The sequence below is a fragment of the Homo sapiens genome, chromosome 4, assembly GCF_000001405.40.
Source record: "Homo sapiens chromosome 4, GRCh38.p14 Primary Assembly".
Classification (NCBI taxonomy): Eukaryota; Metazoa; Chordata; class Mammalia; order Primates; family Hominidae; genus Homo; species Homo sapiens.
In genome coordinates this window covers 39,967,605-39,989,631 of record NC_000004.12, presented here as the reverse complement: position 1 = coordinate 39,989,631, position 22,027 = coordinate 39,967,605, and the positions used below count along the sequence as shown (strand labels likewise).

Here is a 22,027-nt window from a genome sequence, read left to right as displayed (position 1 = left end):
CTGAAAAATGACAAATCAACACTTGAAGCTAAGGTTTGGTAGAGCTGTCTGCCATACAACAGTTCCATTTTTGCAGTTTTTCCACATTAGTTTCATAATTACTTAAATATTTGCTTGCATATTGTTCTATTGCATAAGAATGTGTGTAAATGGGATGGGCACAGCGGCTCATGCCTGTAATCCCAGCACTTTGGGAGGCTGAGGCAGGTGGATCACCTGAGGTCAGGAGTTCAAGACCAGCCTAACATGATGAAACCCTCTCTCTACTAAAAATACAAAAATTAGGGGGCTGGGTGCGGTGGCTTATGCCTGTAATCCCAGCACTTTGGGAGGCTGAGGTGGGTGGATCACATGGTCAGGAGTTTGAGACCAGCCTGACCAACATGGTGAAACCCCGTCTCTACTAAAAATACAAAAATTACCTGGGCATGGTGGCATGCATCTGTAATCCCAGCTACTCAGGACGCTGAGGCAGGAGAATTGCTTGAACCCAGGAGGAGGTTGCAGTGAGCCAAGATGGCCCCACTGCACTCCAGCCTGGGCAACAGAGTGAGAATCCGTCTGAAAAAAAAAAAAATTAGCCGGGCATGGTGGGGGGCTCCTGTAATCCCAGCTACTTGGGAGACTGAGGCAGGAGAATCGCTTGAACCCGGAAGGCAGAGGTCGCAGTGAGTCAAGATCGTGTCATTGCACTCCAGCCTGGGCAACAAGAGCGAAACTCCATCTCAAAAAGAAAAAAAAAAAAAGAAAAGAAAATGAGAAAATATACGTGGACATAAAGCTGGGAACACTAGCCAGTAGGGACTCCAAAAGGAGAGAGGGAGAGGGAAAAGGGCTGAAAAACTTCCTACTGGGTACTATGTTCGCTGTATGGGTGATGTGATCAATAGAAGCCCAAATCTTATCATTACACAATTTACTCTTATGGCAAACCTGTACATGTACCCCCGAATCCAAAATTTATTATTATTATTATTATTATTACTTTTTTTTTTTTTGAGACAGAGTCTCACTCCGTCGCCCAGGCTGGAGTGCAGTGGTGTGATCTCAGGTCACTGCAAGCTCTGCCTCCCGGGTTCACGCCATTCTCCTGCCTCAGCCTCCCAAGTAGCTGGGACTACAGGCACCCGCCACCAAGCCCGGCTAATTTTTTTGTATTTTTAGTAGGGACAGCGTTTCACCATGTTAGCCAGGGTGGTCTTGATCTCCTGACCTCGTGATCCACCCACCTAGGCCTCCCAAAGTGCTGGGATTACACGCGTGAGCCACCACGCGCGGCCACCTAAAATTTAAAGAAGAGTAAATAAAGAAATTGATTTATGCTCACAAAGTTAACACAATTGAAAAAAAATGTAGAAATCAGGTAAGCTGTTGTTTACAGCTGTATAGATGTTTCACAGTTCTCCTTCAAAAGCAAATGTTTAGGTCAACATGAGAGTGACATTTGTCTCTCAGAGGGTAAATGTTTTTGCTTTCTTATGGCTACCAACTATCCCACTTTAAGACAGTTTTTTTCCTTCTTTTTTTTTGTTTTTGTTTTTGTTTTTGTTTTTGTTTTGAGACAGAGTCTCGTTCTGTCACCCAGGCTGGAGTGCAATGGCGTGATCTCAGGTCACTGCAACCTCCGCCTCCTGGGTTCAAGCGATTCTCCTGCTTCAGCCTCCCGAGTAGCTGGGATTACAGTCACCCGCCACCACACCTGTATAATTTTTGTATTTTTAATAGAGATGGTGTTTCACCATGTTGGCCAGACTGGTCTCAAACTCCTCACCTCATGATCCCCCCACCTTGGCCTCCCAAAGTACTGGGATTACAAGCATGAGCCACCGCACCCAGCCAAAACAATTTTTGCATATGGCTGGTGTATTGGTTTCATAGGACTGCTGTTGCACCACAAACGTGGTGGCTTAAAACAACAGAAACTTACACTTTTACAGTTTCAGAGGCTAGAAGTCCAAAGTCTAGGTGTGAACAAGGCTATATTCGCTTTGAAGCCTCGAGGGAAGAATCCCTGTCTCTTTCTCTGCTTCTGGTGCTTGCTGGTGATCCTTGTAATTCCTTGGCTTGCAGTCATCACTCCAATCATCGCCTCCATCCCTACATGGGACTTCATCCCTGTGTGTCTTCATATCTTCTTATTAAGACACTGCTGGTCAGTGGATTTAGGACCTACCCTAATACAGTATGAGTTTGTTTTAAATAATTACATCTGCAAAGATGCTGCTTCCAAATAAGATCATATTAGGAGGTTCCAGGTGGACATGAATTTTGTGTGTGTGTGTGTGTGTGTGTGTGTGTGTATGTGTGTGTGTGTGTCGTGGGGCACTATTCAACCCAGTACAGGTGGGTTCATGAATCTTGGTTAAGATTTCATAAAGTCCAATCAATTATTCATTCTAAATTAGGTCATATTTGGTGGTTAACATCAGAAATGTACTCAAATTAGCTCAGATAAAAGAGATTTTACATGAAGAAAACAATTTTTTTTTTCTTTTTTGTGACAGAGTCTTGCTCTGTCGCCCAGGCTGGAGTCCAATGGCCTGATCTCAGCTCACTGCAACCTCTGCCTCCTGAGTTCAAGCAATTCTCCTGCCTCAGCCTCCCAAGTAGCTGGGATTACAGGTACCCACCACCATGCTCTGCTAATTTTTTTTTGTTGTTGTTTTTTGAGACAGAGTCTCACTCTGTTGCCCAGGCTGGAGTGCAGTGGCGCAGTCTTGGCTTACTGCAAGCTCCGCCTCCCGGGTTCATGCCAGTCTCCCGTCTCAGCCTCCCGAGTAGCTGGGACTACAGGCACCTGCCACCACGCCCAGCTAATTTTTCGTATTTTTTAGTAGAGATAGGGTTTCATCGTGTTAGCCAGAATGGTCTCGATCTCCTGACCTTGTGATCCGCCCGCCTCAGCCTCCCAAAGTGCTGGGATTACAGGCGTGAGTCACCGCGCCAGGCCTAATTTTTGTATTTTTAGTAGACAGGGCGTTTCACCGTGTTGGCCAGGATGGTCTTGATCTCCTGACCTTGTGATCCACCTGCCTCAGCCTCCCAAATCTCAGCCCGGCCTGAGATTTCGTCTAAAAAAAAAAAAAAATTAGCTGGGTGTTGTGGCATGCACCTGTAATCCCAGCTACTCTGGAGCCTGAAGCAGGAGAATCGCTTAAACCCGGGAGGCGGAGGTTGCAGTGAGCCGAGATCATATCATTGCACTCCAGCCTGAGTGACAGGGTGAGACTCCTTCTCAAAAATAAATAAATAAACAAACAAACAAATAAATAATTAGGGCCGGGCACGGTGGCTCACGCCTGTAATCCCAGCACTTGGGGAGGCTGCGGCGGGCAGATCACCTGAGGTCAGGAGTTCAAGACCAGCCTGGCCAACGTGGCGAAACCCCATCTCTACTAAAAATACAAAAATTAGCCCGGTGTGGTGGCAGGCACCTATAATACCAGCTACTTGGGAGGCTGAGGCAAGAGAATTGCTTGAACCCAGGAGGTGGAGGTTGCACCCAGGAGGTGAGCCGAGATGTGCCATTGCACTCTAGCCTAGGCAACAGAGCAAGACTCAGTCTAAAAAAAAAAAAATTAGCCAGGCATCATGGCACGTACCTGTATTCCCAGCTACTCAAGAGGCTGAGGTGGGAGGATAACTTGAGCCCAGGTGATCAAGGCTTCAGTGAGCTGTGATTATGCCACTGAACTCCAGCCTGGGTGACAGAGTAAGACACTGTTTCAAAAAAATAAAAATAAAATAAGAAAGTAAAGTTATGACACATACTTCTTTACTACAGTTATGGGCAGAATAGACTCATTTATCAAATGTATTAGAGAAGATAATCATGCCCGGGTGTGGTGGCTCACGCCTGTAATCCCAGCACTTTTGGAGGCCGAGGTAGGCGGACCACCTGAGGTCAAGAGTTCGAGACCAGCCTGACCAATATGGAGAAACCCCGTCTCTACTAAAAATATAAAAAAACTAGCCGGGTGTGGTGGTACATGCCTGTAATCCCAGCTACTCAGGAGGCTGAGGCAGGAGAATCGCTTGAACCTGGGAGGCGGAGGTTGCAGTGAGCAAAGATTGTGCCATTGCACCCCAGCCTAGGCAACAAGAGCGAAACTCCGTCTCAAAAAAAAAAAAAAGATGAAATCTCGCTCTTGTCCCCCAGGCTGGAGTGCAATGGTGTGATCTAGGCTCACTGCAACCTCCGCCTCCCAGGTTCAAGCAATTCTCCTACCTCAGGCTCCCAAGTAGCTGGGATTACAGGCCTGTATCACCATGCCTGGCTAATTTTTTGTATTTTTAGTAGAGACGGGGCTTCACCACATTGGCCAGGCTGGTCTCAAACGCCTGAAGTCAGGTGATCTGCCCGCCTCCCAAAGTGCCAGGATTACAGGCGTGAGCCACCGTGTCCGGCCACGCCTGGCAAATTTTTTATATCTTTAGTACAGACGGGGTTTTACCATGTTGGCCAGGCTGGTCTTGAACTCCTGACCTCGTGATCCACCAGCCTTGGCCTCCCAAAGTGTTGAGATTACAGGTGTGAACCACCGCACCCGGCCTTTTTTTTTTTTTGAGAAGGAGTCTCACTCTGTCACCCAGGCTGGAATGCAGTGGCACGATCTTGGCTTACTGCAAATTAGCTCAGATAAAAGAGATTTTACATGAAGAAAACAATTTTGTGTGTCTGTGTAACAGAGTCTTGCTCTGTTGCCCAGGCTGGAGTCCAATGGCCTGATCTCAGCTCACTGCAACCTCTGCCTCCTGGGTTCAAGCAATTCTCCTGCCTCAGCCTCCCAAGTAGCTGGGATTACAGGTGCCCGCTACCATGCCCAGCTAATTTTTTGTATTTTTAGTGGAGAGGGGGTTTCGCTATGTTGGCCAGGCTGGTCTCGAACTCCTGACCTCAAGTGATCCACCCACCTCAGCCTCCCAAAGTGCTTGAATTACAGGCGTGAGTCATTGCGCCTGGCCTAATTTTTTATTCTTAGTAGAGACAAAGTCTCACTATCTTGCTCAGGCTGATTTTGAACTCCTGGGCTAAAGTGATCCTCCTGCCTTGGCCTTCGAAAATGCTGGGATTATGGGCATTAGCCACCTCACTTGGCCAATTATTTTAAGTTTAAAAAAAAATTTTTTTTTGTGGCCGGGCATGGTGGCTCACGCCTGTAATCCCAGAACTTTGGGAGGCCAAGGGGGCGGATCACGAGGTCAGGAGATCGAGACCATCCTGGCTAGCACGGTGAAATCCTGACTCTACTAAAAATACCAAAAATTAGCCAGGCGTGGTGACGGGCGCCTGTAGTCCTAGCTACTCGGGAGGCTGAGGCAGGAGAATGGCGTGAACCCGGGAGGCGGAGGTTGCAGTGAGCCGAAATCGCGCCACCGCACTCCAGCCTGGGCGACAGAGCGAGACTCCGTCTCAAAAAAAATTTTTTTTTTTGAGATGGAGCTTCATTGATGTTGCCCAGGCTGGAGTGCAGTGGCATGATCTTGGCTCACTGCAACCTCTGCCTACTGGGTTCAAGCCATTCTACTGCCTCAGCCTCGCGAGTAGCTGGGATTACAGGTGTGTGCTACCACCACAAGCTAATTTTTGTACTTTCAGTAGTGATGGGGTTTCGACATGTTGGCCAGCCTGGTCTCGAACTTTTGGCCTCAAGTGATTTGCCCACCTTGGCTTCCCAAAGTGCTGGAATTACAGGCGTGAGCCACCATGCCCAGCCTATTTTAAGTTATATAGGACAACAGGAGGCTAACATCCCAAGCTTCATAACAAAAATGCACTGCAATGTGATTGTTGAAATTTTATTTACTCTGAAAACTCTTTCAGTCCTATAATCATCTGTCATCCTAATACTAGCAACTTGAGAAAGGGTTAAAAAGTGGCATTTGTACAAAATATAACTCTAAATAATTTCTTATGGTACTACCATTACTAGACAAAAATTATAATTATCATGAGGGTATAATTTCTTTGACTTCAGGGGATATAATTGAAAAAATATTAAATTACAATATTAAAATGTTTGGAAATTTGTTGAGTTTGGTTTTATTTTTTTCTCTTCTGGACCTCATGTGCTCTGACTAGATTAATTATAATTCTTGGGTTATGAACACATCTCTCATTAGTCCATGGGTTGCCTTTAGTCATTCAACCATTCATTCTTTAGCATAGCTAGCATATGTGAAGTCACCATCTCACCCAAGAATAAAGCTTCAACAGAATACATCTACCAATATATTCATTCTCCCGTGTTGTCTCACTGTGTTCCCTGCTTCTCCTTGTACTCTAAGGGTAACCATTATCCTGAACCTTGCTGTTGAACTTTATGTCACTAAGATTTATCCATGTCACTTATACCTGCAGTTTTTTTCATACTTGAAAATATTTAGGGTCAGGCTTGGTGGCTCATGCCTGTAATCCCAGCACTTTGGGAGGCCCAGGTGGGCAGATCACTTGAGGTCAGGAGTTCAAGACCATCCTGGCCAACATGGGAAACCCTATCTCTACTAAAAATACAAAAATATGCCGGGTGGTGGCGGGCACCTGTAATCCCAGCTTCTCAGGAGGCTAAGGCAGGAGAATCACTTGAACCTAGGAGGCGGAAGTTGTAGTTAGCCGAGATTGTGCCACTGCACTCCAGCCTGGGCAACAGAGCAAGACTGTCTCATAACAACAACAACAAAAGAAAGTAATCAAAATAAATTAAATTAAAAATTCACTTCTCTCGTGGCACTAGCCACTTTCCAAGTGCTGCACAGTCACGTATGGCTGGTGGCTACTATTCTGGACAATGTATGTGTGGAACATTTCTATTGCTGCAGAAATTTCTATTGGACAGAACTGCCCTAGATTTTTGCTCTAGAATTTCTTACTTTCTTCTTCTTTTTTTTTTTTTTTTCTTTTTTTTGAGACTGAGTCTCACTGTGTCACCAAGGCTGGAGTGCAATGGCACGATCTCAGCTCACTGCAAGCTCTGCCTCCCAGGTTCAAGTGATTCTCCTGTCTCAGCCTCCTGAATAGCTGGGATTACACAGGTGCCCATTACCCTGCTCAGCTAATTTTTGTATTTTTAGTAGAGATGGGGTTTCACCAGGTTGGCCAGGCTGGTCTCAAACTCCTGACCTGAGGTTATCTGCCTGCCTCGGCCCCCCAAAGTGCTGGGAGTACAGGCGTGAGCCACCGTGCTCAGGTCTTTTTTTTTTTTTTAGACGGAGTCTTTCTCTGTCGCCCAGGCTGGAGTGCAGTGGTGCAATTTCGGCTCACTGCAACCCCTGCTTCCCAGAGTCAGGCAATTCTGATGCCTCAGCCTCCCAAGTAGCTAGGACTACAGGTGTGCGCCACCCCACCAGGCTAATTTTTGCATATATATATATATGCAAATATATATATATATATTAGTAGAGATGAGGTTTTGCCATGTTGGTCAGGAGCTCTAGAATTTGTATATAGAAGGAGCTGTAGTGAAATTGGGGGTTAGGGGTTTGTCCTCAAATTGCATTGGACGCAATTTTGTACATAGATTATATAACTGAATGTATGTGTGAGGGGGACACTGATTGAAATTATGTGGGAGGTAGAATAAAGACTCACAAAGCCACCCCTTTGTGCAATTATTAACCACATAAAACTCTTTGATTTTTTTATTTTATTTTATTAAAAAAAATTATGTAGAGCTTAGTATATGCGAGTTACTATTCTAGGCATTTTACAAATATTAACTTATGGCCAGGCGCAGGGGCTCACACCTGTAATCTTAGCACTTTGGGAGGCCAAGGCGGGCGGATCACCTGAGGTCGGGAGTTCAAGAGCAGCCTGGCCAACATGGTGAAATCCCATCACACTAAAAATACAAAAAATTGCTGGGCATGGTGGTGCGTGCCTGTAATCACAGCTACTAGGGAAGCTGAGGCAAGAGAATCACTTGAACCTGGGAGGCAGAGGTTGCAGTGAGCCGAGACTGCAACACTGCACTCCAGCCTGGGCGACAGAAAAAAAAATTAAGTTATGTATTCCTCATAATGATCATGTGAGGAAGATACTATCATTATCCTTGTTTTACAGATGAAGAAAATGAGGCACAGAAGAATTAAGTGGTTTGACCAACATTGCCTAACTCAGGACATACATCATATCACCTCTTTGCTTAAAACAGTCCATTAGTTCCCCACCTCAATCAGAGGATAGCCACAGTCTTACCAGAGGTCTAAAAGGCTACATGTGATCTGTACTCTCTCTCACTCCAGGGAGTCTCACTCTGTCGCCCAGGCTGGAGTGCAGTGGTGCTTTCTCAGCTCGCTGCAACCTCCATCTCCCCGGTTCAAACGATTCTCCTGCCTCAGCCTTCTTAGTAGCTGGGATTACAGACATGTGCCAGTGCGCCTGCCTAATTTTTGTATTTTTAGTGGAGACAGGGTTTCACCATGTTGGTCAGGCTGGTCTGGAACTCCTGACCTCAGGTGATCCACCCACCTCGGCTTCCCAAAGTGCTGGGATTACAGTCCTGAGCCACCGTGCCTGAGCCACTGAGTCTAATTTTTTGTCTTTTTAATAGAGATGGGGTTTCACCATGCTGGCCAGGCTGGTCTGAAACTCGTGACCTCAAATAGTCTGCCTGCCTCCCCCTCCCAAAGTGCTGGGATTACAGGTGCGAGCCACCGTGCCCAACTCTTCCCTACTTTATTTTCATATACATGTATTATTGTTATTTTGGTCTATTTCTCCCCAAACAAATTAAGGTCCACCAGGAGGGCAGGCCTTCATTTGTGAAACAATTATTTAAAGAGGCCTATAATATAAGGCATTGTTTTGGGCACTGAGCGGGGAAGAAAAGCTTGGTGGAGGTTGGGTGCAGTGGCTCATGCCTGTAATTCCAGCACTTTGGGAGCCCAAGGTGGGTGGATCACCTAAGGTCAAGAGTTCGAGACCAGGCTGGCCAACATGGTAAAACCCTGTCTCTACTAAAAGTACAAAAATTAGCCAGGCGTGGTGGCGCATGCCTGTAGTCCCAGATCTTGGGAGGCTGACGCAGGAGATCTGCTTGAACCCAGGAGGCGTAGGTTGCAGTGCGCCCAGATTGTACCACTGCACTCCAGCCTGGGCAACAGAGCAAGACTTCGTCTCGAAAAAATAAAATAGGCCAGGCGCAGGGGCTCACACCTGTAATCCCAGCACTTTGGGAGGCCGAGGCGGGCAAATCACGAGGTCAGGAATTCGAGATCAGCCTGGCCAATATGGTGAAACTCCATCTCTACTAAAAATATAAAAATAAGCTGGGCGTGGTGGTGTACGCCTGTAGTCCCAGCTACTTGGGAGACTGAGGCAGATGAATCGCTTGAACCTGGGAGGCAGAGGTGAAGTGAACCGAGATCGCACCACTGCACTCAAGCCTGGTGATAGAGTGAGACTCCATGTTAAAAAAAAAAAAAAAGAAATCAACCAGTAAGGCCAGGCACGGTGGCTCAAGCCTGTAATCCCAGCACTTTGGGAGGGTGAGGCGGGCAGATTACCTGAGGTCAGGAGTTTGAGACCAGCCTGACCAACATGGTGAAACCCTGTCTCTACTAAAAATAACAAAAATTAGCCGGGCATAGTGGCGGGCGCCTGTAATCCCAGCTACTTGGGAGGGTGAGGCAGGAGAATTGCTTGAACCCAGAAGTCAGAGGTTGTAGTGAGCCAAGATCACACCACCACACTCCAGCCTGGGCGACAGAGGGAGACTCTGTCTCAAAAAAAAATTAGCCCGGTATGGTGGCACACACCTGTAGTCCCAACTACTTGGGGGCCTGAGGCACAAAAGTCGCTTGAACCTGGGAGGCGGATGCTGTAGTGAGCCGAGATCATGCCACTGCACTGCAGTCTGGGCGACAAAGTGAGACTTCATCTCAAAAAATAATAAAATAATATAAAAAATAAATAAAATAAAATATATGTACATATACAAAACTCCATTTAATAATGGGCAAGCTACTGAGGAGGATGAAAGATAAAATCATTGTTGTTTAATTAAATGTAACACACAAAGAAATATCAAATTTGGCCGGGCGCGGTGGCTCATGCCTGTAATCCCAGCACTCTGGGAGGCCGAGGCGGGCGGATCACTAGCTCAGGAGATCGAGACCATCCTGGCTAACATGGTGAAACCCCGTCTCTACTAAAAATACAAAAAAAAAAAATTAGCCGGGCGTGGTGGCGGGCGCCTGTAGTCCCAGCTACTCGGAAGACTGAGGCAGGAGAATGGCGTGAACCCGGGAGGCAGAGCTTGCAGTGAGCCGATATCACGCCACTGCACTCCAGCCTGGGTGACAGAGTAAGATTCCGTCTCAAAAGAAAAAAATAAATATCAAAAGTGACAGGGAGAGCCTAAAAAGAGAGCAGCTTTTGGTCCACTTAATAGTTTGGATGAGGACACTTTTAAATGGATTCTGCCTGGTACTGTAAATGCCCAAGAACAAAGCATTGACTTTTGGGCAGAGTTCTAGCAAATCAGCAACTGTGGAGTGTCAGATTCGCAATGACTGCTCTTGTGTAATACGTCAAAAACAAGTCAGTGAGCTGAAATGCAGTACCTTTACTATTTTTAAGTTGACGTTAAAGGATGTGGGAAAAAAATAGACCAATGGGTACCCATCAAGAATAATTTGAATAAACAATCGAATATCATTTTAAACTATGGTAGTGGTCAGTTTCAAGAGCTGAATGTGATTTCATATTATCGTATCCTTTTTTCAACTTTCTCTTCGGAAATTTTGTGTATGCTCTTGATTTTTTTTAAATAGGTAAGTGTATGTTCTTGCGTTAATTTGTTTCAATTACATACATTAAATTGCTCAAACACTGCTGCGTGCACTGTTTTTACCTGATAGTGGTTTTCCTTTGGATGACAGAAAACGTTAATGCTTGGTAGGTTTAAAACATTTTTAAAAAATGAGCTCTTCCTTATTTACAAGAATCACCCACCCAATTAATAAATGCTTATTTCTGGGTTCCACTCTCAGAGATTTTTATGTTTATGTATATTTTTATATTTTTTAGTGTTTTATTTTATATGTTATATTTTTATATGTTTTATGTTCATATATATTTTTACGTTAAAAAAACATATATTTTTATGTTTTTTAATCTTTGGAGTTGGAAACCTACGTTTTCAGCCAGTACCCAAAGTGATTGTGAGGCCTGGTGGCCCAAAGACCATACCTTGAGAACGACTCGACCCAATGCTATTTTCATGTTTTGCAGCTTTCAAAATATTAACTTCAGAAATCTAAGGAGGGTGGGCAACTCGGGTGGCTGTCAGAAGACCCGAGAGTGAGCCGCTCACGCTGCGCCCCATTGCACAACTTTCCTTGACTTTGCAGATCTCTCCCTGAGGAGGAAATCAGTTCATTTTCACCGAGCAATTAACTACCTCCCAACCAGTTTCGTCTATGTCCCTCAGGATGACCCCCAAAAGTCACCAGCTCATCGCCGCTGCGAAAGATAAAGCACTGTTTGCCCTGCGTGCCCTCGCAAGGCCGCGGGAACCTGGGCTCGCTTCCCGCCACCCGGGCTCCTCCTCCTCTCGCCCTCTCCGGTCGGGTCCTCCGGGAGGCGCCCCGCGCGGCAGGTATTGGCGCCAACCGGGTGGCGGCGCTGTCCGCCCTGCGCGCGGCCGCCTCGGGCCCGAGGGAGGCGGATGCACGGCCGGCGGAGGAAGGGGAGGGAGCGAGGAGCGCGCGCTGCTCTCGCGTGCTCTCGCGCCGCTCGCGTGACCGGCCGGTGTGTGCGCGAGGCCCCGGCTCCCGGGGCACGGACGGCCGGGCGCGCGCCTCTGCGAGGGGCGTCCGGGTCCGAGTCGGCGGTCCGGGCCGGCGCGAGGTGCGTGCGGGCGGGCCGCGGGGGTCCCGGACGGACACAAGCGCACACACTCCCGGAGGAGCCTTCGAGGCTGCTCTTCCTCGGCCAGACGGAGAGCGGCACTGTCTCCCCGCCCAGCGCTCACTCGCCCCGCGTCTCCCCCCGCGGCGGCTGCTCCTCCTCGGCACCGCCAGCCCCAGCGCCGCTCCCGGGCGGGCGGGCGGCGGCGGCGGCGGCGGCGGGACCCGCGGAGCCGCTTTGTGTGCAGCCCGACTAGGGGCGGCGGCGCAACCACCTGACAGAGGCCCGGGCGCTCGATGCACCTTCCGCCCGCATGAGGAGGAGGTAAAGGCGGCGGCGGCTCGGCTCCCGCCCTAGGCTGCTGGAGGGAGGGGACGGAAGGGGAGACTGGAGGGGGGGGCCGCGGGTCCGAGGCCCGGTGGGGCCGCCCGAGGGTGCCGGGAAGGCCTCGGCGGTGCCGGAGGCGCCAAGCGGCCGGGGGCCAGAGAAGCAGCTGGGGTCCCTCAGCCGAAGTTGAAGGAACAAAATGTGAAGTGCGGAGGCGCGTCAGCCGCTTCCTGGCGTGGGGCTGAGGGTGGAGGGCGGCTTGTTTTCCCCTCCCGCGGGGGTGAGGGAGCGGAACAGGGGAGGGGTGGCAGCGCGGCGGGGACTACCCCGGGTCCGAGGCTCGGCTGGGCAAGGGCGTTTTGTTCCCGGCAGCCGCCGCTGCGCGTGGGTCCGCTGGGTCCCTAGTTTTGCGGCCTAAGCCGAGCCCTATAGGCCTCGGGTCTGGTTTCCCGGAGGGGACTGGCCGGGCGGGACTGGGTGCTTCCCCACCGCCGAGCGGGGGCCTTGGGGTCCTTGCCGGCCTCCCGGGGCCGCCAAACTTCGGACCCTGGTGCTCGGGGGTGGATTTCATTGTGAAAGGCGGAATGGGAAACTCCTGGCGCTGTTCGGCGGCCACGGCGGCTGGTGCGGAGGAGCCCCGTGAGCCTGGGGCTGGCAGGGCCGGGTTGGCGGGGCCGGCGGGGTTCGATCCCTGGGAAAGAGCGGGTGGCGAGGCCGCTGCCGGGTCCCCGGCCTCTGGGGAGACAGGGCCTTTTCCAGATTAGAGAGATTTGAAATGAAAAAAGAGGTTACAAAGTCGCCCCTTTCCCGCTGAACTTTGGTTTTCTGACCGATAGAGGCCGGTAGAGGACTGTGAACCAAAAGTTGTCCCCCAGGATGGACTTCACCGCGCAGCCCAAGCCTGCCACTGCCCTCTGTGGCGTCGTGAGTGCCGACGGGAAGATCGCTTACCCTCCGGGGGTAAAAGAGATCACCGACAAGATCACCACGGACGAGATGATCAAACGCCTGAAGGTAAGTGTCTGGACGGATTTTGATGTCTTTGGTAGAAGGCGCTTTCTCCTGTGATACTGCTACCCTGCTCAGTCTGGCCTTTAAAGTTCCAAGTTTTTTAGATCTCTTACCCCCTCTGAAAGGTACTGTTGTATCTCAGATAACATCTTTGAGTGAGTTTTGTAGGGATATAACCATTGTGGGAAATTTAAAAGGAGTGTGATTTTTCAAAAACTTACTGGTTTTCAAGCATAAGAATTTGTGTTTTTAGAGTTTTTTCTGGAGGTATTTAATGAGAATACTGTTCAGAGTGGCTTGCAAACTTAGGTGTAGGCAGTAATTTGCCTAAGAAGTTTACTATTTTCAGCTTCTGAAGGGGATTGATTAAAGCGCAAAGTCCTTTTTAAAAATTTGCATAATTTTCTATATCCAGAAGCTTAAATATGTATATATGGTGGTTAAACTTTGACAGAAGGTACAGACTTTTCATAATTCAGGCTTAAAGTAAGATGATTTAAGTCTATACGTTCAAAGGAGTTTAAGAGTATTATGGCCCTTTTTATGAGGTGTCAGCTAATTTTGTTTAAGCATGGCAGTCCTAAGGTTAAGGTTTTAAATTTCAACCTCATGTTTGTTAGTTTTTTTGGTTTCTGTTCCACTGACATAGATTGTGGCCAGAATCTTAACAAATAAGTAATATTCTTCTTGTAGGAACAGCTTGAAGCAGTGGTTCTGAGTCAGGGCAACTTTGACCTCCAGGAGATGTTTGGCAATGCTGGAGACATTTTGGTTGTCACAATTGGTGCTAGATTGGAGTAGGGGAAGACCAGAGGCAGTGAGTCCGGCTAGGAAACTGTAAACAGTAGTCTAGGTGAAAGACGTTGAAATCTTCAGGTAGGGCTATGGCATTGGTAATAGTGACTAGGAAATGATTTAACAACTTTTCAGAGTTAGAATCAATCAGAATTGGTGGGAGGTGAGGGAAGCAACATTGTTGACAATGTTTCCACCTTGGGCCACTTGGCCAAATGTATTTTAGGGAATGAGCTTGGCCTCTTGCTCTTGGAGCCCAGTAAATGTACCTAATGTTGCATTTTAATGAGTACAGTATTTAAAATATTCCTGTGGTTTAGTTTTCAGACTCTTAATTTGGTTCTGCAATTTGTTGCCTTTTTGGAAGGAATAAGACAACAGTTCCTTTCATTAAAACAAATCTGTGTGCGGCGGCGGGATCTCAGCTCACTGCAACCTCCACTTCCCAGGTTCAAGCTATTCTGCCTCAGCCTCCCAAGTAGCTGGGACTACCAGCGTGTGCCACCACACCCGGCTAAATTTTTTTTTTTTTTTTTTTTTTGAGACGGAGTCTTGCTCTGTCACCTAGGCTGGAGTGCAGTGGCGCGTCTCGGCCCACTGCAACCTCCACCTCCCGGGTTCAAGCAATTCTGCCTCAGCCTCTCTAGTAGCTGGGATTACAGGTGCCTGCCACCACGCCCAGCTAATTTTTGTATTTTTAGTAGAGATGGGATTTCACTATGTTGGTCACTTTGGTCTCGATCTCCTGACTTCGAATGATCTGCCTGCATCGGCCTCCCAATATGCTGCGATTACAGGTGTGAGCCACTGCTCCCAGCCCCTTTCATTAAAACAAATCTTGGGCCTGGTGTGGTGGCTCCAGCCTGTAATCCCAGCACTTCGGGAGGCCGAGGCAGGCAAATCACCCGAGGTCTGGAGTTCTACTAAAAATACAAAATTAGCTGGGCGTGGTGGCGCATACCTGTAATCCTAGCTACTGGGAGGCTGAGGCAGGAGAATCGCTTGAACCCGGGAGGCGGAAGTTTTGATGAGCGGAGATCGCGCCATTGCACTCCAGCCTGGGCAACAGGAGTGAAACTTCATCTCAAAAAAGTAAAATAAAATAAATAAAGCAAATATTGATACTAAAGATTATACATGAATTGAGCTGCTTGATTGATGCTTCTAAAAGTTACACTGTTTTGGGAGTGAGAAATTATGAAATATAAAACTTAAACAATTGATGGATCGTTAATATTTATTGTTTTCAAATTAAGAATATTGAAACCTTGAATTCTAATGTTGGATAATTTGGTTAAAAAATGGAAAGTTGATGTGTTAGCAACCGCTCTGTTGACATGACTCATGGAACCTGTGAAGAAGCTGGTCTCATAGTATTAAGTGGTGGTATAGGAGCAGCTTGGGGATAGCACCTGGCATATTGGAATGGATGAGGTCTGGCACCCTGAGCAGTCCAGCGAGGACTTGGTCTCAGTAGAGCAGTTTGGCTAGGAGGAGAGTATGCAGCACGGTTTTTATTTATTTTTGAGACAGAGTCTCGCTCTGTCGCCCAGGCTGGAGTGGGTGCGATCTCGGCTCACTGTAAGCTCCGCCTCCCGGGTTCACGCCATTCTCCTGCCTCAGCCTCCCGAGTAGCTGGGACCACGGGCGCCCGCCATCATGCCCGGCTAATTTTTTGTATTTTTTTAGTAGAGACGGGTTTCACCGTGTTAGCCAGGATGGTCTCGATCTCCTGACCTCGTGATCTGCCCCTCTTGGCCTCCCAAAGTGCTGGGATTACAGGCGTGAGCCACCGCGCCCGGTCTTGCAGCACGGTTCTGAGTCTGTGGAATAGCTGCCATGAAGTAACCTGAAGGAGGTGCTGGCTGGTAGGGGTTGATTACATGGTTGGGCACAGCTCGTACACTTGCCATTCTCTGCATATGCTGGTTAGTGAAGTGAGCCTGGCACTCTTCTTTGCGCTGAGCTAAAGCTACATACGATGGTTTTGTGGCCACAGTTCTACCGTTCATTTCTGTAACTGCTTTAGTGGCTTCTTCCGGGAAGGAGAAACATACGAAACCAAACCCTTTGCTGTGACCACCCTCCATCATAGCCTTTGCACTAGTGATTGTACCAAATGGAGAAAACTCTTTCTGGAGACGTTCATCATCAATACTATCATCAAGATTTTTCACGTAAATATTAACACCCTGGTATCTGCTGGCTGCAGCTACTCCTGCTGTCCACACCGTTCCACAGTATAAATATGCTGCGGGAGTTCGCAATCCTCAGCAACATCTTAATGCACAGCCACAAGTTACAATGCAACAGCCTGCTGTTCATGTACAAGGTCAGGAACCTTTGACTGCTTCCATGTTGGCATCTGCCCCTCAAGAGCAAAAGCAAATGTTCATATGCTCGAGAGTCCAGAGTCACTCTGTTCTAAGGTTCATGAAGCTAGCTATATTACAAGCCCACCAAGCTAAAGAGGCTACCCAGAAAGCAGTTAACAGTGCCATTGGTGTTCCTGCTGTTTAAAATTGATCAGAGACCACGAAAAGAAACTTGTGCTTCACCAAAGAAAAATATCTAAACATCGAAAAACTTAAATATGGAAAAAAAAATTGCAAAATATAAAATAAATTTAAAAAGGAAAGGAAACTTTGAACATTATGTACCGAGCAAATGCCAGGTCTAGCAAACATAATATTAGTCCTAGATTACTTATTGATTTAAAAACAAACAACAAAAAAAACCCCACAAAAAATAATAAAATATAAAGACAAATTAATGTTTTATAGATCCTGGGAAAAATAATTTTCAGCAAAGTACAAAAATTTAAAGCATTCCTTGTAATCTTTACTGTGGAATAGCTCAAAATATCAGTTCTGTTTTAAGTAACAGAATTGATAACTGAGCAAGGAAGCGTAATTTGGATTATAAAATTCTTTTTTTAATAAAAAATTCCTTAAACAGTGAAAAAAAAAAAAAGGAAAGTTGTGGTTGGGTACAGGGGCTCATGCCTGTAATCCCAGCATTTTGAGGGCTGAGGCAGGAGGATCATTTGAGCCCAGGAGGTTCAGACCTGGGCAACATAGACCCTGTCTCAATTTTATTTTTATTTTTTATTTATTTATTTATTTTTTGAGACGGAGTCTCGCCCTGTCGCCCAGGCTGGAATGCAGTGGTGCAATCTTGGCTCACTGCAAACTCCGCCTCCCGGGTTCAAGCGATTCTCCTGCCCCAGCCTCCCAAGTAGCTGGGATTAGAGGTGCGTGCCACTATGCCCAGCTAATTTTTGTATTTTTAGTAGAGACGGAGTTTCACTATGTTGGTCAGGCTGGTCTCGAACTCTTGACCTCGTGATCCGCCCACCTCGGCCTCCCAAAGTGCTGGGATTACAGGCGTGAGCCACCGCGCCCAGCCAACCGTGTCTCAATATTATTTTTTTAAGGTGTGTTGGGAAAGTTATGACTACTTATGTACATTTTCTGTTTGAAAATCGATTATCAGAAGTACTGTTAACTATAAATGGACATACAATCCAGTGGAGAATGAGCATCGAGTTTGATTATCCATTTGTTATGAGTTCTTTTGGAAGTTAAAATCGACGTTCATATCAACCAACTTCAATGTCCTACTGCCAAAATGTTTTCTGAAAAATTCTTTTGATTTTGTATTTCTTCTGCCTTCCTTTCTATTTTGACTTTGTACTTAATTAGGGATCCTTCTTTAAAGTATTATGTCTCATTGGAAATGTAGATTTTTAACAATACTTAAGTATTTTTGAAATTTTGTTTTTTTATTAGAATCTTAGTTATTGATAATTTTATAAATTCAGGAGTTTATTATTATTATAACATAGCAACAGTGTTGAAATGCTGTACAAACACAAAGAGAGCTTAAGCCCGGACGCAGGGGCTCATGCTTGTAATCCTAGCCCTTTGGGAGGCCAAGGCAGGTGGATCTCTTGAGCTCAGGAGTTCGAGACCAGCCTGGCCAACATGGTGAAACCCCATCTCTACTAAAAATACAAAAATTAGCCAGGTGTGGTGGCACACCTCTGTAATCTCAGCTACTCCTGTGGCTGAGGCATGAGAATCACTTAAACCCAGGAGGCAGAGGTTGCAGTGAGGCATTATGCCACTGCACTATAGCCTGGGTGACAGCAGAGTGAGACTCTGTCTCATTAAAAAAGACCTTAAAGGCAGGCCCGGTGCGGTGGCTCACGCCTGTAATCTCAGCACTTTGGGAGGCCGAGGCGGGTGGATCATGAGGTCAGGAGATCGAGACCATCCTGGCTAACACAGGTGAAATCCCATCTCTACTAAAAATACAAAAAAATTATCCAGGCGTGGTGGCGGGGCCTGTAGTCCCAGCTACTTGGAAGGCTGAGGCAGAATTGCATGAACCCAGGAGGCGGAGCTTGCAGTAAGCCAAGATCCCACCACTGCACTCCAGCCTGGGTGACAAAGCGCGACTCTGTCTCGAAAACAAACAAACAAAACAAAACAAAAAACATCTTAAAGGCAATTACAAAGGAATTCAGCGGTGTTTGGTCCTGTTCTCGTCAGTTTTCAAGAATGGAACAAGGCTGGGTGTGGTGGCTCATGCCTGTGTAATCCCAGCACTTCAGGAGGTCAAGGTGGGAGGAACACTTGAGCCCAGGAATTTGAGATAGGCCTGGGCAACATGACAAAAACCTATCTCTACAAAAAATGCAAATATGGTCGTAGCTACTCAGGAGGGTGAGGTGGGAGGATCACTCAAGCCCAGGAAGGTCAGGGCTGCAGTGAACCGTGATCCTACCACTGCACTCCAGCCTGGGTGACCGAGTGAGACCTTGTCTTAAAAAAAAAAAAAAAAAAAAAAAAAGGAACAAGCGGTTTTACAGTGGAACCATAATCTTAGAATTAGAAGGATCTTAAAGGAAATTCTGGAACCTCCTCTTACTTCACAGATAATGAAAGTTAGGCCAAAGTATTCAAGTAACCTTTACCAAAATCAGTCACAGGGCAGTTTAGTGGCAGAGGGCAGGGGCAATAACGCCATATTTACTTTGGTTGTTATATAGTTGCTTTCTTCTAAGGAATCTAAACTAAGTAGAACTAAAAAGTTGTAACTTTTATCATGTAGTTGAAGACATTACAGTGAAATGTGAAGAGAATGAGAGTGAGTTTGGTCTTTTGTAGGGAGAAAAAGGACAGCTTTTTTTTTTTTTTTAAGCATTTGAGAGAAACTATTGTGAAGCTTTGAAGCTTCGTTGACAATAATTCTTAGAGTATGTCTTTGAAAGAGCTAAGATATGTTTTCCTATACTAGAGCTTTTCATTCCTGTTTCCAGGGCATTACTTTACCTATTTTTGTTATGTCAGGCCACAGTGGTCTTCGGTTGGTTTCCTGAACATGCCATGTTTATTTCTGTCTAGACAGGTTCCTTACATTAAATAGCCCATGTGTTCATTTGTCATTCATTTGTTACTTCTTAAGGGAAGCCTTTAAGGTTCTACATTACAGGCTGGGCGCGGTGGCTCACGCCTGTAATCCCAGCACTTTGGGAGGCCAAGGTGGGTGGATCACGAGGTCAAGAGTTCGAGACCAGTCTGACCAACATAGTGAAACCCTTTTTCTTGGAGCCGAGATCACATCACTGCATTCCAGCCTGGGCAACAGGGCGAGACTCTGTCTCAAAAAAAAAAAAAAAAGATTCTACATTACATACCCTTCAACTCCTTCATATTACATTTATCCATACATTTATTTGGTTTGTCTCTTTAGCTTCTCTGTAAACCTTATTAATACAGATACCGTGTCTGTTTTTCATTCCTCTCAGTGCCAAGCTTAATGCCTGGCACATAATTGGGTGCTGAACAAATACTTGTTAAGTGAATGAATGAATATTTTGTATTAATACTGAATTAGAGAAATATTTTTATTTTTGAAAGTAAAGGATAATTTGAAAAAATTTCAAATTGCAGCTAAGGACTTTCCTTTTTTTTGAGACCAAGTTTTGCTCTTGTTGCCCAGGCTGGAGTGCAATGGCCTGATCTCGGCTCACTGCAACCTCTGCTTCCTGGGTTCAAGTGATTATCCTGCCTCAGCCTCCTGAATAGCTGGGATTATAGGCATCCACCACCACGCCTGGCTAACTTTGTATTTTTAGTAGACACGGGGTTTTACCATGTTGGTCAGGCTGGTCTCGAACTGGTGACCTCAGGTAATCCACCCACCTCGACCTCCCAAAGTGCTGGGATTAGGGCGTGAGCCACTCTGCCTGGCTAGGACTTTTCAAACTAAGGAGTTTGTGTCTTAGAGATGGTAACATAGGTACAGTACTTAGAATTTTGGAGTCAACAGGTAGTTCAGAGGTTATGTATTTCTGTTCTAATTTTTCAGGTGAAGAAACTGACCATTTGATAGGTTGTGAACAACGCTAGTCACCTAAAGCTGAAAAGTGTCATTAACTTCTGCTACTTAGATAATAGAAGTTACAATTATATATTAATTGACAAATATTAAAACCATACTAAAGTTAGCTATGTGGAAGGATGGCCAATAGTTTAGTATCATTGTTACATTAAGAATCACAAATAGCTGGCACGGTGGCTTACGCCTGTAATCCCAGCACTTTGGGATGCCTAGGCGGGCGGATCACCTGAGGTCAGGAGTTCAAGACCAGCCTGACCAACATGGAGAAACCCCGTTTCTACTAAAAATATAAAATTAGTTGGGTGTGGTGGCACATGCCTGTAATCCCAGCTACTCAGGAGGCTGGGGCAGTAGAATCCCTTGAACCTGGGAGGCAGAGGTTGCAGTGAGCCGAGATCACGCCACTGCACTCCAGCCTGGGGGACAGGGCAAGACTCTGTCACGAGAAAAAAAAAAAGTAAAAGCATACACTGAGCAAGTGATTTTTTAAAAAATTCATATTACAGGCCGGGCACAGTGGCTCATGCATGTAATCCCAGCACTTTGGAAGGCCGAGGTGGGTGAATCACCTGAGGTCGGGAGTTCGAGACCAGCCTGACCAACGTGGAGAAACCCTGTCTCTACTAAAAATATAAAATTAGCCGGGTGTGGTGGCGCATGCCTGTAATCTCAGCTACTCAGGAGGCTGAGGCAGGAGAATCGCTTGAACCCAGGAGGCGGAGGTTGTGGTGAGCCGACATGGTGCCATTGCACTCCAGCCTGGGCAACAACAGTGAAACTCTGTCTCAAAAAAAAAAAAAAAATTAATATTATAATTAAGTAATCTAAGCACCATTGCACTCCAGCCTGGGCAACAAGAGCGAAACTCCATCTCAAAAAAAAAAAAAAAGAATCACAAATAGCCATCCTCCCATATAGTTGTGGGTTCTGAAACTAATACAGGGTTCACATCTAATAAGTGACATTTAAAATACACTTATAGGTCTGGTGTCCTCTGGCTTATGCCTGTATTTCCAGCACTTTGGGAGGCTGAAACGGGCAGATCACTTGAGCTCAGGAGTTTGAGACCAGCTTGGGCAATATGGCAAAACCTCATTTACAATAAAAATTAAAAAAATAAAATACACTTATAAATAGCTGTGCAAATTCCATAAAGGGCTTAATGGAATTAAGTTAGTTATGTAGTATATCCTATATCATGGATTACTACAGAGCTATTTACTATACACATACTTTGTTTCTTTCTTTCTTGCTACTTTGGAGGTAAGAGGGCCTTGATAATTATTGGTGTTTTTTTTGTTTGTTTGTTTGTTTGTTTTTAAGATGGAGTCTCTCGGTCTGTTGCCAGGTTGGAGTGCAGTGGCGCAATCTCAGCTCAGCCTCCTGAGTAGCTGGGACTACAGGCTTCTGCCACCACACCCAGCTAATTTTTGTATTTTTAGTTAGAGACGGGGTTTCACCATGTTGGCCAGGCTGGTCTCGAACTCCTGACCTCATAATCTGCCTGCCTTGGCCTCCCACAGTTCTGGGATTACAGGAGAGAGCCACTGTGCCTGGCCTTTTTATTTTTATTTTATTTATTTATTTTTTGAGATGGAGTCTTGCTCTGTCGCCCAGGCTGGAGTGCAGTGG

The 22,027-nt window shown here is 46.4% G+C and overlaps 1 protein-coding gene and 1 pseudogene across 5 annotated transcripts in view, besides 5 other annotated features; one reads left to right on the top strand and one right to left on the bottom strand.

Annotated features, from left to right (window-relative positions):
• Positions 11,497-12,136: a silencer, noted in NCBI's record as "silent region_15374". NCBI's record gives its function as "represses an Ori minimal core promoter by ATAC-STARR-seq in GM12878 lymphoblastoid cells {active_cell/tissue: GM12878}" and the evidence as "EXISTENCE:reporter gene assay evidence [ECO:0000049][PMID:35858748]".
• The window catches only part of PDS5A (PDS5 cohesin associated factor A), a 155,049-nt gene continuing 144,742 nt past the window's right edge, over positions 11,721-22,027 (top strand). For 2 of the 5 annotated variants that reach the window (NM_001100399.2, NM_001100400.2), the window contains exons 1-2: positions 11,721-12,175; positions 13,015-13,192. In NM_001100399.2, coding sequence (NP_001093869.1) covers positions 13,055-13,192 — 138 coding nt within the window. In that variant the 5' untranslated portion in view covers positions 11,721-12,175; positions 13,015-13,054. Of the gene's footprint in view, positions 12,176-12,363; positions 12,385-13,014; positions 13,193-22,027 lie in introns of those variants that run through there. The other 3 variants (XR_001741185.2, XM_047449931.1, XM_011513672.3) reach the window with 2 other exon arrangements.
• Positions 12,187-12,936: a silencer, noted in NCBI's record as "silent region_15373". NCBI's record gives its function as "represses an Ori minimal core promoter by ATAC-STARR-seq in GM12878 lymphoblastoid cells {active_cell/tissue: GM12878}" and the evidence as "EXISTENCE:reporter gene assay evidence [ECO:0000049][PMID:35858748]".
• Positions 12,187-13,382: a biological region, named in NCBI's record as "NANOG-H3K27ac hESC enhancer GRCh37_chr4:39977870-39978778".
• Positions 12,474-13,382: an enhancer, noted in NCBI's record as "NANOG-H3K27ac hESC enhancer chr4:39977870-39978778 (GRCh37/hg19 assembly coordinates)". NCBI's record gives its function as "activates a minimal SCP1, AML or CMV promoter by ChIP-STARR-seq in primed H9 embryonic stem cells {active_cell/tissue: H9 hESC(primed)}" and the evidence as "EXISTENCE:reporter gene assay evidence [ECO:0000049][PMID:30033119]".
• PABPC1P1 (poly(A) binding protein cytoplasmic 1 pseudogene 1) lies at positions 15,293-16,189 on the bottom strand (annotated as a pseudogene).
• Positions 18,549-18,843: a silencer, noted in NCBI's record as "tiled region #4409; K562 Repressive DNase matched - State 5:Enh". NCBI's record gives its function as "represses a minimal TATA promoter and a strong SV40 promoter by Sharpr-MPRA in K562 cells {active_cell/tissue: K562}" and the evidence as "EXISTENCE:reporter gene assay evidence [ECO:0000049][PMID:27701403]".